General features: G+C 41.6%; 1 protein-coding gene across 11 annotated transcripts in view; it reads right to left on the minus strand.

The window, feature by feature from the left end:
• Positions 1 to 6,213, minus strand: part of NRAP (nebulin related anchoring protein) — a 75,328-nt gene extending 69,115 nt beyond the window's left edge. For all 11 annotated transcript variants that reach the window (NM_006175.5, NM_001322945.2, XM_047425253.1 and 8 more), the window contains exons 1-3: positions 5,983 to 6,213; positions 5,524 to 5,618; positions 4,851 to 4,938 (exon numbers count right to left, since the gene is read on the minus strand). In NM_006175.5, the coding sequence (NP_006166.3) occupies positions 4,851 to 4,938; positions 5,524 to 5,618; positions 5,983 to 6,054 (255 nt within the window). In that variant the 5' untranslated portion in view covers positions 6,055 to 6,213. The remainder of the gene's footprint in view (positions 1 to 4,850; positions 4,939 to 5,523; positions 5,619 to 5,982) is intronic.
• Between the last annotated feature and the right edge of the window lie 13,056 nt (positions 6,214 to 19,269).

A 19,269-nucleotide genomic window follows, 5' to 3' on the forward strand; every position in this document is an offset into this window, starting at 1 on the left:
TTATAAACCTACCACACAATACAAATTAGAGTAACCTCAGAAAACATTGGGCATTAGAGTACTGGTTCTTAATTTTAGTCATGTAACCATCACCCAGGGAGCTTATTAAAATGCTGGCTCCTCAATTTTATGAAGATATTCTTCTTATGCCTCACAATTTTACCTTTAACATCCTGATTTATAATACACCTTGAGTTAATTTTTACATATAGATAAGGGTCAAGGTTCATTTTTTTCTATATAAATACCTAATTACTACAGTACTGTTTATGAAAAGATCATTCTTGCTATGTTAAATTGCAGTGATGCCTTTCTTGTAAGTCAAGTGACCATATACGTGCAGCCCTATTTCTGGACCTTGTGTTGGAGTCCACTGGTCTATTTCTCTCTTCTTGTGCCAATTCTATGCTGAGTTAATAGAGTAAGTCTGCTTTTATAGAGTAAGTCTTGAAATCTGGTGAGTCCTTCAAATTTGTTCTTCAAGATTTCTTGGCTATTTTAGAAGCTTTGTGTTTTTATATTCGTTCAGAATCAGTCTGTCCATTTCCACAAAAAAACACCAGGATTTTGAATGGCACTGCCTTGAATGTATAGATTAATTGGGGGAAAACTGACCTCTCAGTAACATCTTCATAACCTTGAGATAGACAAAGATTTCTTAAATGTAAAAAGGACTAATTATAAAAGAAAAAACATCAGAAGGTCTTAGGTCCAAACTAAGATATCAAAATTTATTAGGTAGGAAGTGAGGCCCAGAAATCGGCAATTTTGGCCGGGCGCAGTACCTCACGCCTGCACTCCCAGCAATTTGGGAGGCCAAGGCAGGTGGATCACTTGAGGTCAGGAGTTTGAGACCAGCCTGGCCAACACAGTGAAATCCCATCTCTACTAAAAATAGAAAAAATTAGCTGAGCATGGTGGTGCACGCCTGTAGTCCCAACTACTCAGGAGGCTGAGATATGAGAATCACTTGAACCCAGGAGGCGGAGGTTGCAGTGAGCCGACATCACACCACTGCACTCCAGCCTGGGCAACAGAGTGAGACCCTGTCTCAAAAAAAAAAAAAAAAAAGAAAGAAAGAAAGAAATCTGAAATTTTTACAAGCTGAAGTTTAAATTCTTAATTTTAAACATAATAAGAAAACAAGCTCAGAGAAAAGTTTAAACCCAAAGGATTCTTGTTCCCTATCAAGGGCACATTCTGATATTGACTTTCCAGGGTTGCTACTGCTTAATGCTACTTGATGCATATATTTTTAAATATATACACTGAGAGATCTTTACATGCTTTTTCCTTGTATTTTTAGGAAACAATTAAATGAACATTACGTAAACTTAAAGTGGGCTTTGTTTGTTTGTTCGTTTTTTGTTTTTACCTACAAATAATACTACCAATATTTTGGGCCAGTTAATTATTTGTTGTGGAGTACTGGCTCGGGCATAGCAAGATGTTTAAGAGCATCCCAGGTCTCCACCCACCAGATGCAATAATACCCCATCAACACCAGTCACGACAATCAATATGTCCCAGACATTAACAAATGTCCCCCAGGTAGGGGTTGGGGGGAACTGCCCTCCTTGAGAACAATGTACTTTAGGAATCAGAAACACAGGACCAAAAGACCAAAATAGATATTCTGTCCACTTCTAGAAAGTTATATTTGCTGTCCTCCTTCCCCAGTGCAAATCTACCACTGGGGAGGGTTTGCCTCCCCTAGGGACCTTTCGTGAGATTCAGGATTACACCAAGGAAACAGAAAGAGGAAAAAATGCCATAAATCTTACCAGTGGGGTAAGGAAGCATGAAGGGCTAAATTTCGTTCTCTGAATAGAAGAAAACCCTAGATGTTTTATTTTTCTAAAAATTCCATTCACACCTACCAAACAGGAAATTCTGTCTTTGCAAGTATTTATTTATTTTTCAAAGGGTGACATTTAGGAGACAAAAAACCTGCAAATCTGCTTTGAATGCCAGCTTAAAATCTCTACTTTTCTCCTTCATCACCATCACTGAAAAATCTCTTTCCTTTTTTGATTTTAGCACTTTCACAATGAATTTGTTTTTTATTCAATTGTCAAAGTCTCCCAGAGATCACAGGGAGGTGAAAAGGTAATTCATAACACACCCTAGGGCAGTTGTAAGAGCTGGGCCCTGTAAGGGATATGGTTGTCCGTTTTACTTTGTCCCTGGTGGGCAAAAAGGAGAAAGTGATCTCAGTAGACAACACACACACACACACACACACACACACACACACACCATATACACATATATACATACATACATACATAAACACCATACATACATATATACACTCACTATATACACATATATACATACCACATATGCATATACATATCCCACATGCATGTACATATACATACATATGCATAAACACATACACACCAAATACATGCACACAATACACATGAACATGTGCACACACATACTCATGCACACACATCACATACACACATATAGATGTGTGTGCACACACATTCACACCTACATACACACATATACACACTCTCCGGATGCACACACACATATATATACACATATATATACACACATATACGCTGTCACATAGACGCAAACAAATACACACACGCAGGCTTCCTGGGAAGCTCACATCACTGTCTGTGGCTGGAAATAGAACCAGCAACAATCCTAGCCTTGCTCCAGGTTGGGCCTGTCATACACAGTTAAAATAAAGTGAGTCCACTCCCACCTCAAAAAGAGGAAAATAGTGTGTGACCTGTTGTGTGATTATAAGGTGGAGACATGCCTGCTGTGGCTCAGTTAGAGGAAAAATACAGACATTATGGATCTTTCTGTAGACACTGTAATAAATGCAAACAGCATTCTGAGGTAAAGTACATCTCCTCATGTTTTATGTGTCAAATCCTCGCTACACAACTGCAGAAACATATGGATATTTGAAAACATGAACAAGTGCTTTTTGTCTTCTGGAGAGTTTGCCACCCTCTGGATATATATGAAAGAGAGCCACTAATAAATATCCTAAAGTTAAACAGATCTGGATTTGTGCCCAACCAGCTGGGTAAACTAGGCAGGTTACTTAACCTCTCTGAGCTTCAGTTTCCTCAACTATAACACAATAATATTACAGAAGGTTCTTGTCAAGAACACATGAGATAATATAAAGAACTTAGCAGAGTGTTCAGTACTCTGTTTAAGTAAGAGCTAGATTCAATATTTATTGTAATTTCATGTAGCTGCTCTCAGACACCAAGAGATGAAAACAAAGTCCTAAAAGAATTAGGCTTCTCAGTAACCTAGGATTACTTGTGAATTCATAAGACTTGTGAATCCCTAGGAAGCAATGATGTCTGAGCAACAATTTGAGCCTCTGTTTCCTCACCGTAAAATGGGATAATAGTAGTATCAACTTCATTGAGTTGTGGTGTACGTTAAATTAATTAAGTGCTTCTACAGTAAATGCTATATATGCTTGTTAAATAAAAGAAATAATAAACTCACAATTAGTTCTAAGCACTTAGTGAAAATAAGGTATCTTGGCAGCATGTGTAGAGAGCCACACAGCAAGGTCACTACCTCTATCTCATACACAGTTTTTTGGGAGGAGGACAGCTGGGCAGGGAAGGGAGTCAGTATGAGGTGGAGCAACATTAGGAAGGGAATCTTGGGTAAAGAGGGATCACTAGAGAGTCTTTCACCTCATGGGTAATTTTCTAATTTTAGAAAGCCACTAAAACTTCATCCCACAGAGCAACTTCTTGTGGGCATGGGTTATAGAAGCTCAATGATTCATCATTTTAATAGGTGCAAGAGTTCCGTCGATAACTGGTTATTTGACAAAACTCCACTATTAGATTTTCAAGAGGTTGGATTTGGCAATGTGGCCTCCATATTTACCTCCCCATCTCAACCCCACACGTCCTAAACTAAACTTCCTTTCCAAAGGAAAACATCTTTGACTTATCCCCACCCCAAGGGGAAAACAGGCTGCCAATAATCATAAGTAATGACTGAATTCAGAGAGACTTAACAGTGTGAAACTAAAGGTTTTAATTTTGTGTACCAGAATGTCACAGGGAAAAGTCAAGATCCTTGTAATATGTTCCAACTACGTAAGCATTGTTTTATGTATTAAGCACCTAGTATATGCAGAGCCTACTCTATAAACTGTCATCATTTTATGAAACAGTCTTGAGCTGGTCAAGACACAAAGATTATACTGAAATCAAGGACCTCAATTATTCAATCTAGATTATCCTGTATATTGGCTCCTAATATTGTGGGAGAACAAACAGTCATATTTGTTACTCAAATGCACTTTACATGTGTATGTGGAGGAAATGGGCAGGTTCACATGCAGACAGAGACACTTAAAAACTTAACATGTGCCTAGCATTGTTAATCGGTATATAATATTTGCACATATTTATGGAGTACATATAATATTTTGTTACATATTAGAATGTGTAATGATCAAGTCAGGGCATTTAGGGTGTTTATCGGCTCGAGTATTTATCATTTCTATTCTAGCTATTTTGAAATATATGATACATTGTTGTTAATTGTGGTCATCCTACTCTGTCTGCTATAGGACATTACAACATGTTCCTTCTTTTATTTATTTAACTTTTTAAGAAATAAAGACAGGGTCTCACTATGTTGCCCAGGCTAGTCTCTAACTCCCAAGCTCAAACCATCTGCCCGCTTTGGCCTCCCAAAGTGTTGGAATTGTAGGTGTGAGCCACTGTGCCTGGCTAGAATATATTCCTTTTATCTATTTGCATGTTTCTACCCAGTAACCAATCATTCTCCATACCCTCCATCCCACTGAAAATTAAATAACTTACCCCACTGATGGCCTCTGGAAATGTCCTCACATTTAGATTTAATGGAGTGTGATAGACACTGGTGAAAGTGTTGTTCTTAGGGTTATGGCTACAACAAATAGGTATAAATCAAAATTAGAAATGTACTTTATCCAAATGATTGAGGGACTATTCTTAAAATTATTTTTAAATAATAACAGTTATTTTTAAAAAATCAATAAATGTAAAACTTAAAAATTAAGTTCGTGATTTTCCAGGCAATGCATCTTACAGAAAAAAAAGCAAATCAAATAAAATCGACATATATAACTGAAAGCCTAAATTTAACTGGAAATGATCACTTGAAAACTTTCTGAAGAAAGTAAAAAAGGATTCTGAAATTATTTAAAAGAAAATACTTCAAAGCTCTATATGCATATTTATGGCCATTACATTGTTCTGCACAGTATTTAATAATTTGACATGAGGTTATAGTGGATATATTTGATCTTTTACTTGGAAGAAATTTGAAGTTTTGTGTCCATTGCATAAAATCCCACCTTAGGTCTCTTTAATGACAGGATACAAGGGAACACTTTGGGAGAAGATATTTCTTGGATTTAACCCTGGGTTATATGATTTGAACGTTTAGTTGGCTCCTTGTTGAAAAACAAATAAAACTCAAGAGGTAGTGGTGGGGGCATCAAACACTTACGCGTGACAGTACGGCTTTTTCTGGTGACTCACAAAGTTATTAACAGACAGCATCATCTTGCAAACTTCACAGTGAAAACAGGCTTTATGCCATATCTAGAAATCATATAGAGAAGATTTAGCAATTACCCTTTTCCCCCCAGACTCAAGGTTCTTATATATTTTAGGGTAAAAAAATGAACTTCGAGGATAAAATGCTGATTTTAAAAAAATTAAAATCCACACACACAGCTATAACAACACTCACGGTTAAATAAATGGATAACTTTTTTTTTTTGAGACAACACAGAAGAAATAGAAATGTGTAGAACTAAATAAAGGTGAGAAAATATAACTTTTTCTTGTGGTTCAAAACAATTTAACTGAAAATTAAATTTCCATATTTACCTATGTCCATATGTGAGAAGGTCAATTTCCTGTGTTTGTTATTATTCACAAAAGCCAAGAAATGTCTACTGACCTGATCTATACAGCTGATCTTCTCGGCAGGATAAACCCCATACCCACACCTAGAACAGGGCTGCACATTCATCTCGAAGCCGGAAGAGAGAGGACAAAGATAGGCAACAGGCAAGAAATGCAAGGAGAACCCCCAGTCTAGTTCAAGTCTTCAAAATCCGACGACCATAAAATTCCTGTGGGCACCTCGATCTTTCAGAATCCAACTTCCACTTTCCTTTGCTGACCTTCTAGTTTGAAGTCAGCAGTTGGATGGTTTTTAAAGCTGCCACTTACTCAAGGGGCTATTTTGGCCACTCACTCAGCACGCATGTGTCTGGGAAATAAGGTGGAAGTATTTCTAGCTGACATGCTTCTCTAAATAGAAAAATGAACTCACAACAGCATCATGTTTATGTGGATAACCAAACCCTGGTGTATGATCAGGCAGCATGGAGTGGTTTAGCACTAGCTGTGATCATGACCCAAGAAAAGAACCTAAAGGAAGATGCCACACCGTCATCCAACAATCAAATTAGAAAAGCTTGCTCTATGCGTCCTATGACTAAAGCAGAAAGGCCAGCTCCCAAAAATATAGAAAATAAAATAGGATTGATTCACTCCTTTAAATGGATAAATATCACACTTGAATTTTAACTTTACCTACCCAAAGCGTTTACAACAGTTAAACTAAAAACTTAATAAGGTGTTAGTTTGTGTTTAGCTTCTACTGGAACGCAAAACTAAAAACTAATGAGAACTCTTGGTGTTTTGGCCTCTGTATTTTATTCTAGAATGTTCCAAGAAGGCCTTTGTGCTTGTTCCCTTGCCTCACAGGCCTTAAAAGAGGTGATATGAAGACAGAATCTCTCTTCCTGGCTTTGGGAAGCCTCTCATTGCCTTCAGTCTCTGCTGAAATGTCACCTTATCACCTTATAGAAATACCTGATACAAAATGGCACCTCACCTGTCCCCACTCCTATCTCATTATCTTCCATTACTCTTAGCCTGCTTGATGGTCTTCATAGTGGTAATCACAGCTGGACATATTACATGTTAATGTTTCTATTTTTAAAAATTGTGTCTCTCCCATCAAAATATGAGTTCTGTCTAAACAGGATCTTTGGTCCTTTTTGCCACTTCTATATCCCCCATGCCTAGAACAAGGTCTGCCAATAAAAGGTGCTTAATAAAGATTTATTGGATTAATGAAATAAATTTAATACTCACACCAAAATGCCTATAGAGGCCAGGTATGAAGTCTAGATAATGGTAGGAACTTTTCCAAATAGATGAGCACTCATCCCATCTGAAGCAGGCAACTGCTCCTCAGTCCCAGCCAACTGTCATCATGAAACAATCAACATTCCAGGTTGCCAAATATCCTGATTTTTCCGGAATATTTTCCAAATATTCTGAGCACACCAGAAGTCTGCATTTACAAATGAAATTCCCCTTTTTGTATATAAAACAATATAACAGAGTCGTGGGCAGTATTTGGCCAGCAGGTTACCAATTTGTGACCTTGGCCCTAAATGTTCTGAGGTTAGGTTGGTGTCCCCAGGTAGGGTGGAGTAAGATGAGTAGTATTTTGGGGTTGTGCTGAGATAGCCAGGGGGTAGGAAGAAGCTCTAAAGCCAATGAAGAAGAGTAGCATTCAAGTCCACATGAGTATAAGGGGAAGGCGGAGTCTCAGGTTTTCCCACATGGGGCTAGGGCTCTCTCAGCATGGGGAGGGGACTCAAAGCAGGGACTCCAGGCTCAGCAAAGACTCCCACACTGAAACGTGATTGGGCAGGAGGGCTGCCACCAGCCTGCAAATGAGAACAGCAATGGGCACAGCACAAAGACCTGCAGGGTTCCCCGGTTGTTTTGCTCTGCACCAGGCTTCTCAAGCCTTACTTAGTGGGTGGGGTGGAAGCTCCAATAATCACTGAAATGAACTGTACCCCAGTCCGGAGGGCTGAGGAATCAGGAGGATTTCACTTAAAAAAGAAGCTTGCAACGTTCCTTCTCTGCCTAAGCTTGTGATTGCAATCTGTAGCCGTTAAAACGGGTTGGTCACATTTGTGAACACAAGAATTACAAAATGCAAGATGCTAAACTGGATTTGTACCATCACTTCTGATTTATTAGACATCAGAAATTGCTAGGAGAAACAACCCCATAGAACTAGAAATGGGATAGTTTAAGGAACTAGAAGTAAACACTCATTTCTGGGGCAAGACAAACACAGACTTCACTGTGTAGTCGAGTCTTGGTTGGTTCACACCACCCTTCTCATGTTATATACAGCCCCTCCTGCTCCTTGGCCTAAGCCCCTCCCACTTGACGCAGGGATTACAGCAGGCCGTCCAAGCCAAGTCAGTGAGCATACCACATTCCTTTGGCCTTAGGAGTTGGTTCAGATAACATCAGTCTTAGCCTGGGTTCTCCAGAAAACAGAACCTGTGTCAAAGGCTTATATGCAAGGACTTTATTCCAAAGTATAATCCAGGGAGCAAGAGTTAGAAGGCAGGAAATGCAGGGCAGGGAACAGTTGGTATTAGGGTTGTTCTCAACGGGGCCACCAGCTGGTATAAAGTGTATTGAATGGCTTGACCATCTTCCAAGGGGCCATATAAACAACCGCTACTCAGGAACATCTACCAGAGGAAGGAAGGGTCCTGTCTCCCATTGGTGAAAGGTTTGCCCCATTGGCCATTAATGTCCATGCTGTGTATGTACACAGGGAGTCCCATGGCATCTCGCACCTCAGTATCAACAGGAAAACACCAAGGGCAGCAGAAGGCCAAAGACACTGTCAGTTGTGCCCACGTGAAGATGGCCAGAGCCCTCATAGAGACAGTGGCCACTACCGAGGCTGAGCCTGCTCAAGTAGGCAAAGGCCCTACGGAAGGTGAGGCTGAGTGAATCTAAAGCAGCCCTTCCAGGTGTCTGATGCACTGGGCTCTCAGCAGAGTCCTGGACCTGGGCTTGGTGGTGGTGAGCTGGAGCCTGATCTTGCAGAGCCTTGTGGAGCCTTGATCTGGGAACTTCGGCCCACACCACCCCACATTGCTCTGGCTTTTTTTAAGTCTTGACTCATAGGGAGCTTTTTGTTTCACATTAATGACTTTTATGTTCAGTATGTGGGCAAGTAGTTTCCTTTTGAAAGTTAAATGTAGTCCTCCTTATTTACCTCTTTTCAATTTCATCCTGTTGATGGTGGTCGCCTTGCTTTAGGCGGTTGAGGTCTTTTTGGACTTGGATTGAGTCATCCAGGATATGAGGTAATCCTTTCTAACTCTGCACCATTTCCAGGGCCCTCCAGGGCTGTGCATATGGACTGGTTTTGAAACTACAGAAAAATGATAAGAGATGTGAAATCAAGGGACAGCTGCTGACCCTTCATTCTGTCACTGTCACTCAGATTAGACGGAAGGTGTTCCTCCCATGCTGGGGGTTTGTTCCTGTTTTAATTTAGGTTGCCCCCCTCAGCAAGGCACAGGGAAGTTATTTGGGAGGTAGTCCCATGAGGCAGGAGTGAGGGTTTAAGGCAAATGAGCCAGGGAAAAGAGAAGAGTCAATAAAGAGCATATCCTAAACTAGATATTATACCACTGTGGGCAGCTGGAGCACAATCTTGCTGGGGACACTCTGAAGATTTGTGTAGAATGTGCCTCAGAATGGTCCCACTGAAGGATGGTGGCTGGGACACATCCACTCAACTCTCATCCCCCATTGGTTGAGGGCAACTGTCAGGGTCATTAACTCCCCTATACCTTTAGGGGAGACCTCTCTCCACAAGCTTAATGGACTTAGGCAGCTTGAAGAAAGCCCAGAGGCAGGGAAGTGGAGGGCCACTGCTGTGGGCGTGTAAAGAGGGCCTGGTGACATGCATGGAGATAACACTGGTGAGCGGAGGGGATGTGATACCAGGTACCCCCAGAGTGGGTCACTCAAGGAAACTGGCAGTGGACAGGGTAAGGGAAAGTACTTATATGAGATGCACCGTGAACTCTCACTGTCCTGCTCTTCCAGGCTGATGGTGTCAACCCTGTTCCATCCGTCCACTCCTCTGCACTGTACAATGCTGCGTCGACACACTTGGGGTGGAGAATTCAGGAAGCAGGGCCTTGTCTTGAGCTCTCATGCTTTCTCAGGTCAGACCTGCCCTTGCCCACCACCCTCACCCCTAACCTTGGGGGCTTCCAAGTGCCCTGGGAGAAGTTATTGGGGGTATTCTCCTGGGGTAAAGTCCCAAGGGTCCTGGCTGATGGGGGGGTCAGCGACCTCAGACTGAAGTTCTTCTGTGGCAGTCATTAAGGCCTGAGCACTAGATGGTGGTGACCTTAATTAGGCAAGGAGCTCTTACCACCCTAGGGAAACCTAAATATTGGTGAGGTTACCTAATGCCCAAGCTTCATTCTGAGAGGTTGAGCAAGTGATCTGTTGGTTTATAGAAACTGTACTCTGTCCAGGAAAATTAGAGAAATTCTACATCTCCTCAAACTTAAATCTGGCTTGAAACCACTCTGGTTTAAAGTTATATATTAGTCAGGGTTCTTCAGAGGGACAGAACCAATGGGGGACATATATGTGTATATATATATGAGATTATTAGGGAGAATTGCTTCACACAATTACAAGGCAAAGTCCCATGATAGGCCGCAAGTTGGAAAAAGGGAAAAGCCAGTAGTTTGGCTCAGTCCAAGTCTGAAAGCCCCAAAACCAGGGAAGCTGACAGTGCAGCCCTCAGTCTGAGCCCCTGGGAGGCCACTGGTGCAAGTCCCAGAGTCCAAAGGCTGAAGAACCTGGAGTCTGATGTCCAAGGGCAGGAGGAGAAGAAGCCTAGTGTGCTGAAAAGCATGGGAAGAGAGAAAGAGGGAGAAGACTCAGCAGACAAGCTTATCCACTTTCTTCCACCTGCTTTGTTCTAGCCAAGCTGGCAGCCCATTGGATGGTGCCGACCCACATTGAGGGTGGGTCTTCCTCTCTCAGACCATCAACTTAAATGTCAGTCTCCTCTGGCAGCACCCTCACAGACACATCCAGGAACAATGCTTCATCAGCCATCTAGGCATCCATCAATTCAATCAAGTTGACACCTAATATTAACCATCACAGTCATTGTTTGCTTTGAAGATGGGATTGTGTCATTTGGTGTAAGATAGGGACCCATAAACTTTTCTGTAAAAAATCAGACTGTAAATATTTTAGGCTTTGCAGGCCATATACAGTCAATCTCTGTTGCATCATCTTTTTCTTATTCTTCTTTTTTTTACGACCCTTTAAAAATGTAAAAACCATTCTTAGCTTGTGAGCTGTACAAAAACAGACCACAGGTGACCTGCAGGTGGTAGTTTGCAATCACAGGGCATCAGGAGCAACCGTGTCTGATGCTCTTGGGGAGAGGGAGTGGAGAGGAAGGCAGAGGAAAGGATTAGGAATCAGTTCAGCCCTATATGGCCTGGGCTTTGATTGCAGTAGAATCTTATTCAGGTGTGAATAATAATATTCAACTGCTACGGTTACCTTTTCCTGGGCCAGGAGACAATGACACACCCTGTGGGTGGGGTGGAAGTTCCCCTCTGAATCAAGAAATGGATAGTCGGCCGGGCACGGTGGCTCACGCCTGTAATCCCAGCACTTTGGGAGGCCGAGGTGGGCGGATCACAAGGTCAGGAGATCGAGATCGAGACCATCCTGGCTGAAACGATGAAACCCCGTCTCTACTAAAAATACAAAAAAGTAGCCGGGCGTGGTGGCAGGTGCCTGTAGTCCCAGCTACTCAGGAGGCCGAGGCAGGAGAATGGTGGGAACCCAGGAGGCAGAGGTTGCAGTGAGCCGAGATCATGCCACTGCACTCCAGCCTGGGTGACAGAGCAAGACTCCATCTCCAAAAAAAAAAAAAAGAAAAAGAAATGGATAGTCACACTGCTGAAGGCAACAGAATCAGAAATGAGGCAGGCTTGAGTGGTATCCATCTGGGTCCACTCAGGAGAGAGAAACCATACAGTAAGCTGAATTAACACAGGCATCCCTCAGTATCCATGGGGGTATTGGTTCCAGGGCCCCTGAGGATACCAAAATCCATGCATGCTCAAGTTCCTTATATAAAATGGCATAGTATTTGTATATAACCTACATATAATCTCCCATATGCATTAAATCATCTCTAGATTACTTAAAGTACCTAATACAATGTAAATGCTATGTAAGTAGCTGTTACCCTGTATTTTTTTATTTATATCATTTGTATTATTGTATTGTTATTTTTTGCTTTTTTTTAAGTATATTTGATCTGCAGTTGGTTGAATCCTCAGATCCAGAACCTGGGGATATGGAGGCTCAACTGTATAACAAATTATAAACTATAACAGCGAGTTGGAATATCAAGAGGTTGGCTAGTAAGAAGTAAAGAGAACTCTGAAAACTGTAGCAATAGCAGATATCCTTGCAAATAACATATGTGTTAGTTTGCTAGGGCTGCCATAACAAAGTGCCACAGGCTTGGTGGCTTAAACAACAGAAATTTATTTTCTCACAGTTCCAGGGGCTAGAAATCCAAGATCACGATATCAGCAGGGTTGATTTCTTCGGAGACCTCTCTCTGCTTGTAGATGGCCACTTCTCTCTGTATCCTCCCATGGTCTTCCCTCTGTATCTGTGTCCTTACTGCAACCAGTCAGACTGGTTGGGGGCTAGGTCTTCATGTGCATAGGGTGTAACTGAGTAACCAATGGGAAACCTCTAGAGGGTACTTCAGACCCCAGAAGATTCTGTAGCCAGTGCTCTTGAGCCACTTGCTCCAGCCAGCTCCCACTCTGTGGAGTATACTTTCATTTCATAAATCTGTTCTTTCATTGCTTCATTCTTTCATTCCTTTGTTTATGCATTTTGTCCAATTCTTTGTTCAAAACACCAAGACCCTGGACAACTCCTAGTCAAGACCCTCCACTGGTAACAGAGGCACTCTCTACAAAACCACCTGAAGCAGGTGCCAGGGGAAGCTGATGGCTGCTGTGTGTTCTGGCTACCAGGTACATTCCAAGAACCTGGTGCTGAGAAGCCATGCCCTCTGAAGGAGCACGCCAGACATGCCAGAACCAGGAAGCAAAACTCTTTCCATCTTATAATGAATCTCCAATGCCCTTTACCCACCAAGGTTAACATGAGGCCACAGGCAAGGGAAAACTACTTAAAGGGCCCAGTTCAATTTCTACAGAACAGACAAAAAGGGTGGATTTGAAGTTGTGAGGCAATCATTCAATAACATGTACAACATGAATTCCTTCTTCCAGGGAAGAAGGGAATTCCTCTTGGACCCTGAGCTTCCTACTCTCTCCACCTGGCAAAAGTCTGCTGGGACCTCAGCAGGGGCCAGGGTTTGGGTTTGGCCTGTGGGTGGTGAGAATGGCATTTCTGTTAATCTTGCAATGTCCTTCATGGAGTCCTGTATAAAGTCATAGCCTGGCCTGAGCTATCCAGTGGAGAATTGGAGAAGCAATCACTGGTGGCACCCCTCAGGGGTGCTATGCCCAGCAGGGTGTGGATGGGGAATTCACCAGCAACCAGAGGGGAGGGCTGGAGGGAAGATTCGGAGGGGCTGGCCCAAGAGCACCTATGAGCCCCTTTGGAAACCATCCCAATAGGGGAAGCTGGGGGACTTTTCTGGAATAAGGGGGAAGGTTCATGCTATAATCATGTGAATATAGAAAGGAAACATAAAACAATGGCATGGTCCAAGGCTGGAGAGACAAAGGAGGTACCTTTACAAGAAAACATCATTTGGATCCAAAGTGTCAGTACAATTATTACAGAGGGAAAAGTTCACAATGGTTTCTTCCCTTCTGTATTTCCCTCTTGTTGATACTGTGATAATCCAGCCTTAGAGCAGTAACTTTGGAATTTCTTGTGCCAGCCCACAATAAGTATGAGGGCAACCCACCCCCAATATTTCAACATAGGTTCTTTCTATTTTCCCTAAGTGTCAGCTGGTCTGAGAAATAAAGAGAAAGAGTACAAAGAGGAATTTTACAGCTGGGCCGCCAGAGGTGACATCATATATTGGTAGGACCGTGATGCCCACCTGAGCCACAAAACCAGCAAGTTTTTATTAAGGATTTCAAAAGGGGAGGGGGTGTATGAACAGGGAGTAGGTCACATGCTTTAAGGGGCAAAAAGCAGAGCAAAAATCACATGCTTCTGAGGAGCCAAATAAAACACAGCAGAATCCCCTGCAGACTTACATGTCCCTGTCTGACAGCTTTGAAGAGAGTAGTGGTTCTCCCAGCACACAGCTGGAGATCTGAGAACGGACAGACTGCCTCCTCAAGTGGGTCCCTGACCCCCAAGTAGCCTAACTGGGAGGCACCCCCCAGTAGGGGCAGACTGACAACTCACATGGCCGGGTACTCCTCTGAGACAAAACTTCCAGAGGAACGATCAGGCAGCAACATTTGCTGCTCACCAATATCTGCTGTTCTGCAGCCTCTGCTGCTGATACCCAGGCAAACAGGTCTGGAGTGGACCTCCAGCAAACTCCAACAGACATGCAGCTGAGGGTCCTGACTGTTAGAAGGAAAACTAACAAACAGAAAGGACATCCACACCAAAACCCCATCTGTATGTCACCATCATCAAAGACCAAAGGTAGATAAAACCACAAAGATGGGGAAAAAACAGAACAGAAAAACTGGAAACTCTAAAAATCAGAGTGCCTCTCCTTCTCCAAAGGAACGCAGCTCCTCACCAGCAATGGAACAAAGCTGGACGGAGAATGACTTTGACAAGTTGAGAGAAGAAGGCTTCAGATGATCAAACTACTTCGAGCTAAAGGAGGAAGTTCGAATCCAAGGCAAAGAAGTTAAAAACCTTGAAAAAAAATTTGACAAATGGCTAACTGGAATAACCAATGCAGAGAAGTCCTTAAAGGACCTGATGGAGATGAAAACCACAGCACGAGAACTACGTGATGAATGCACAAGCCTCAGGAGCCGATTCGATCAACTGGAGAAAGGGTATCAGTGATGGAAGATCAAATGAATGAAATGAAGTGAGAAGAGAAGTTTAGAGAAAAAAGAATAAAAAGAAACGAACAAAGCCTCCAAGAAATATGGGACTATGTGAAAAGACCAAATCTATGTCTGATTGGTGTACCTGAAAGTGACGGGGAGAATGGAACCAAGTTGGAAAACACTCTGCAGGATATTATCCAGGAGAACTTCCCCAATCTAGCAAGGCAGGCCAACATTCAAATTCGGGAAATACAGAGAACGCCACAAAGATACTCCTTGAGAAGAGCAACTCCAAGACACATAATTGTCAGATTCACCAAAGTTGAAATGAAGGAAAAAATGTTAAGGGCAGCCAGAGAGAAAGGTCAGGTTACCCACAAAGGGAAGCCCATCAGACTAACAGCTGATCTCTCGGCAGAAACTCTGCAAGCCAGAAGATAGTGGGGGCCAATATTCAACATTCTTAAAGATAAGAATTTTCAACCCAGAATTTCACATCCAGCCAAACTAAGCTTCATAAGTGAAGGAGAAATAAAATACTTTACCGACAAGCAAATGCTGAGAGATTCTGTCACCACCAGGCCTGCCCTAAAAGAGCTCCTGAAGGAAGCACTAAACATGGAAAGGAACAACTGGTACCAGCCACTGCAAAAACATGCCAAATTGTAAAGACCATCGAGGCTAGGAAGAAACTACATCAACTAACGAGCAAAATAACCAGCTAACATCATAATGGCAGGATCAAATTCACACATAACAATATTAACCTTAAATGTAAATGGGCTAAATGCTCCAATTAAAAGACACAGACTGGCAAATTGGACAAAGAGTCAAGACCCATCAGTGTGCTGTATTCAGGAAACCCATCTCACGTGCAGAGACACACATAGGCTCAAAATAAAGGGATGGAGGAAGATCTACCAAGCAAATGGAAAACAAAAAAAGGCAGGGGTTGTAATCCTAGTCTCTGATAAAACAGACTTTAAACCAACAAAGATCAAAAGAGACAAAGAAGGCCATTACATAATGGTAAAGGGATCAATTCAACAAGAAGAGCTAACTATCCTAAATATATATGCACCCAATACAGGAGCACCCAGATTCATAAAGCAAGTCCTTAGAGACCTACAAAGAGACTTAGACTCCCATACAATAATAATGGGAGACTTTAACACCCCACTGTCAATATTAGACAGATCAACGAGACAGAAAGTTAACAAGGATATCCAGGAATTGAACTCAGCTCTGCACCAAGCGGACCTAATAGATAGCTACAGAATTCTCCACCCCAAATCAACAGAATATACATTCTTCTCAGCACCACACCGCACTTATTCCAAAATTGACCACATAGTTGGAAGTAAAGCACTCCTCAGCAAATGTAAAAGAACAGAAATTACAACAAACTGTCTCTCAGACCACAGTGCAATCAAACTAGAATTCAGGATTAAGGAACTCACTCAAAACTGCTCAACTACATGGAAACTGAACAACCTGTGCCCGAACAACTACTGGGTACATAACGAAATGAAGGCAAAAATAAAGATGTTCTTTGAAACCAATGAGAACAAAGACACAACATACCGGAATCTCTGGGACACATTCAAAGCAGTGTGTAGAGGGAAATTTATAGCACTAAATGCCCACAAGAGAAAGCAGGAAAGATCTAAAATTGACACCCTAACATCACAATTAAAAGAACTAGAGAAGCAAGAGCAAACACATTCAAAAGCTAGCAGAAGGCAAGAAATAACTAAGATCAGAGCAGAACTGAAGGAAATAGAGACACAAAAAACCCTTCAAAAAATCAATGAATCCAGGAGCTGGTTTTTTGAAAAGATCAACAAAATTGATAGACCGCTAGCAAGACCAACAAAGAAGAAAAGAGAGAAGAATCAAATAGACACAATAAAAAATGATAATGGGGATATCACCACCGATCCCACAGAAATACAAACTACCATCAGAGAATACTATAAACACCTCTACGCAAATAAATTAGAAAATCTAGAAGAAATGGATAAATTCCTCAACACATACACCCTCCCAAGACTAAACCAGGAAGAAGTTGAATCTCTGAATAGACCAATAACAGGCTCTGAAATTGAGGCAATAATTAACAGCTTACCAACCAAAAAAAAGTCCAGGACCAGATAGATTCACAGCCGAATTCTACCGGAGGTACAAGGAGGAGCTGGTACCATTCCTTCTGAAACTATTCCAATCAGTAGAAAAAGAGGGAATCCTCCCTAACTCATTTGATGAGGTCAGCATCATCCTGATACCAAAGCCTGGCAGAGACACATAAAAAAAGAGAATTTTAGACCAATAGCTCTGATGAATATTGATGCAAAAATCCTCAATAAAATACTGGCAAACTGAATCCAGCATCACATCAAAAAGCTTATCCACCATGATCAAGTGGGCTTCATCCCTGGGATGCAAGGCTGGTTCAACATACGCAAATCAATAAATGTAATCCAGCATATAAACAGAACCAACGACAAAAACCATGATTATTTCAATAGATGCAGAAAAGGCCTTTGACAAAATTCAACAACGCTTCATGCTAAAAACTCTCAATAAATTAGGTATTGATGGGACGTATCTCAAAATTATAAGAGCTATCTATGACAAACCCACAGCCAATATCATACTGAATGGGCAAAAACTGGAAGCATTCCCTTTGAAAACTGGCACAAGACAGGGATGCCCTCTCTCACCACTCCTATTCAAAACAGTGTTGGAAGTTCTGGCCAGGGCAATCAGGCAGGAGAAGGAAATAAAGGGTATTCAGTTAGGAAAAGAGGAAGTCAAATTGTCCCTGTTTGCAGATGACATGATTGTATATCTAGGAAACCCCATCGTCTCAGCCCAAAATCTCCTTAAGCTGATAGGCAATGTCAGCAAAGTCTCAGGATACAAAATCAATGTGCAAAAATCACAAGCATTCTTATACACCAATAATAGACAAACACAGAGCCAAATCATGAGTGAACTCCCATTCACAATTGCTTCAAAGAGAATAAAATACTTAGGAATCCAACTTACAAGGGACGCGAAGGACCTCTTCAAGGAGAACTGCCAACCACTGCTCAATCAAATAAAAGAGGATACAAACAAATGGAAGAACATTCCATGCTCATGGGTAGGAAGAATCAATATTGTGAAAATGGCCATACTGCCCAAGGTAATTTATAGATTCAATGCCATCCCCAGCAAGCTACCAATGACTTTCTTCACAGAATTGGAAAAAACTACTTTAAAGTTCATATGGAACCAAAAAAGAGCCCGCATTGCCAAGTCAATCCTAAGCCAAAAGAACAAAGCTGAAGGCATCACGCTACCTGACTTCAAACTATACTACAAGGCTACAGTAACCAAAACAGCATGGTACTGGTACCAAAACAGAGATATAGACCAATGGAACAGAACAGAGACCTCAGAAATAATGCCGCATATCTACAACCATCTGATCTTTGACAAACCTGACAAAAACAAGAAATGGGGAAAGGATTCCCTGTTTAATAAATGGTGCTGGGAAAACTGGCTAGCCATATGTAGAAAGCTGAAACTGGATCCCTTCCTTACACCTTATATAAAAATTAATTCAAGGTAGATTAAAGACTTAAATGTTAGACCTGAAACCATAAAAACCCTAGAAGAAAACCCAGGCAATACCATTCAGGACATAGGCATGGGCTAGGACTTCGTGTCTAAAACACCAAAAGAAATGGCAACAAAAGCCAAAATTGACAAATGGGATCTAATTAAACTAAAGAACTTCTGCAGAGCAAAAGAAACTACCATCAGAGTTAACAGGCAACCTACAGAATGGGAGAAAATGTTTGCAATCTACTCATCTGACAAAGGGCTAATATCCAGAATCTACAAAGAACTCAAACAAATTTACAAGAAAAAAACAACCCCATCAAAAAGTGGCTAAAGGATATGAACAGACACTTCTCAAAAGAAGACATTTATGCAGCCAAAAGACACATGAAAAAATGCTCACCATCACTGGCCATCAGAGAAATGCAAATCAAAACCACAGTGAGATACCATCTCACACCAGTTAGAATGGCGATCATTAAAAAGTCAGGAAACAACAGGTGCTGGAGAGGATGTGGAGAAATAGGAACACTTTTACACTGTTGGTGGGACTGTAAACTAGTTCAACCATTGTGGAAGTCAGTGTGGCGATTCCTCAGGGATCTAGAACTAGAAATACCATTTGACTCAGCCATCCCATTACTGGGTATATACCCAAAGGATTATAAATCATGCTGCTATAAAGACACATGCAC

This window comes from Homo sapiens, chromosome 10 (assembly GCF_000001405.40).
Source record: "Homo sapiens chromosome 10, GRCh38.p14 Primary Assembly".
NCBI lineage: Eukaryota > Metazoa > Chordata > Mammalia > Primates > Hominidae > Homo > Homo sapiens.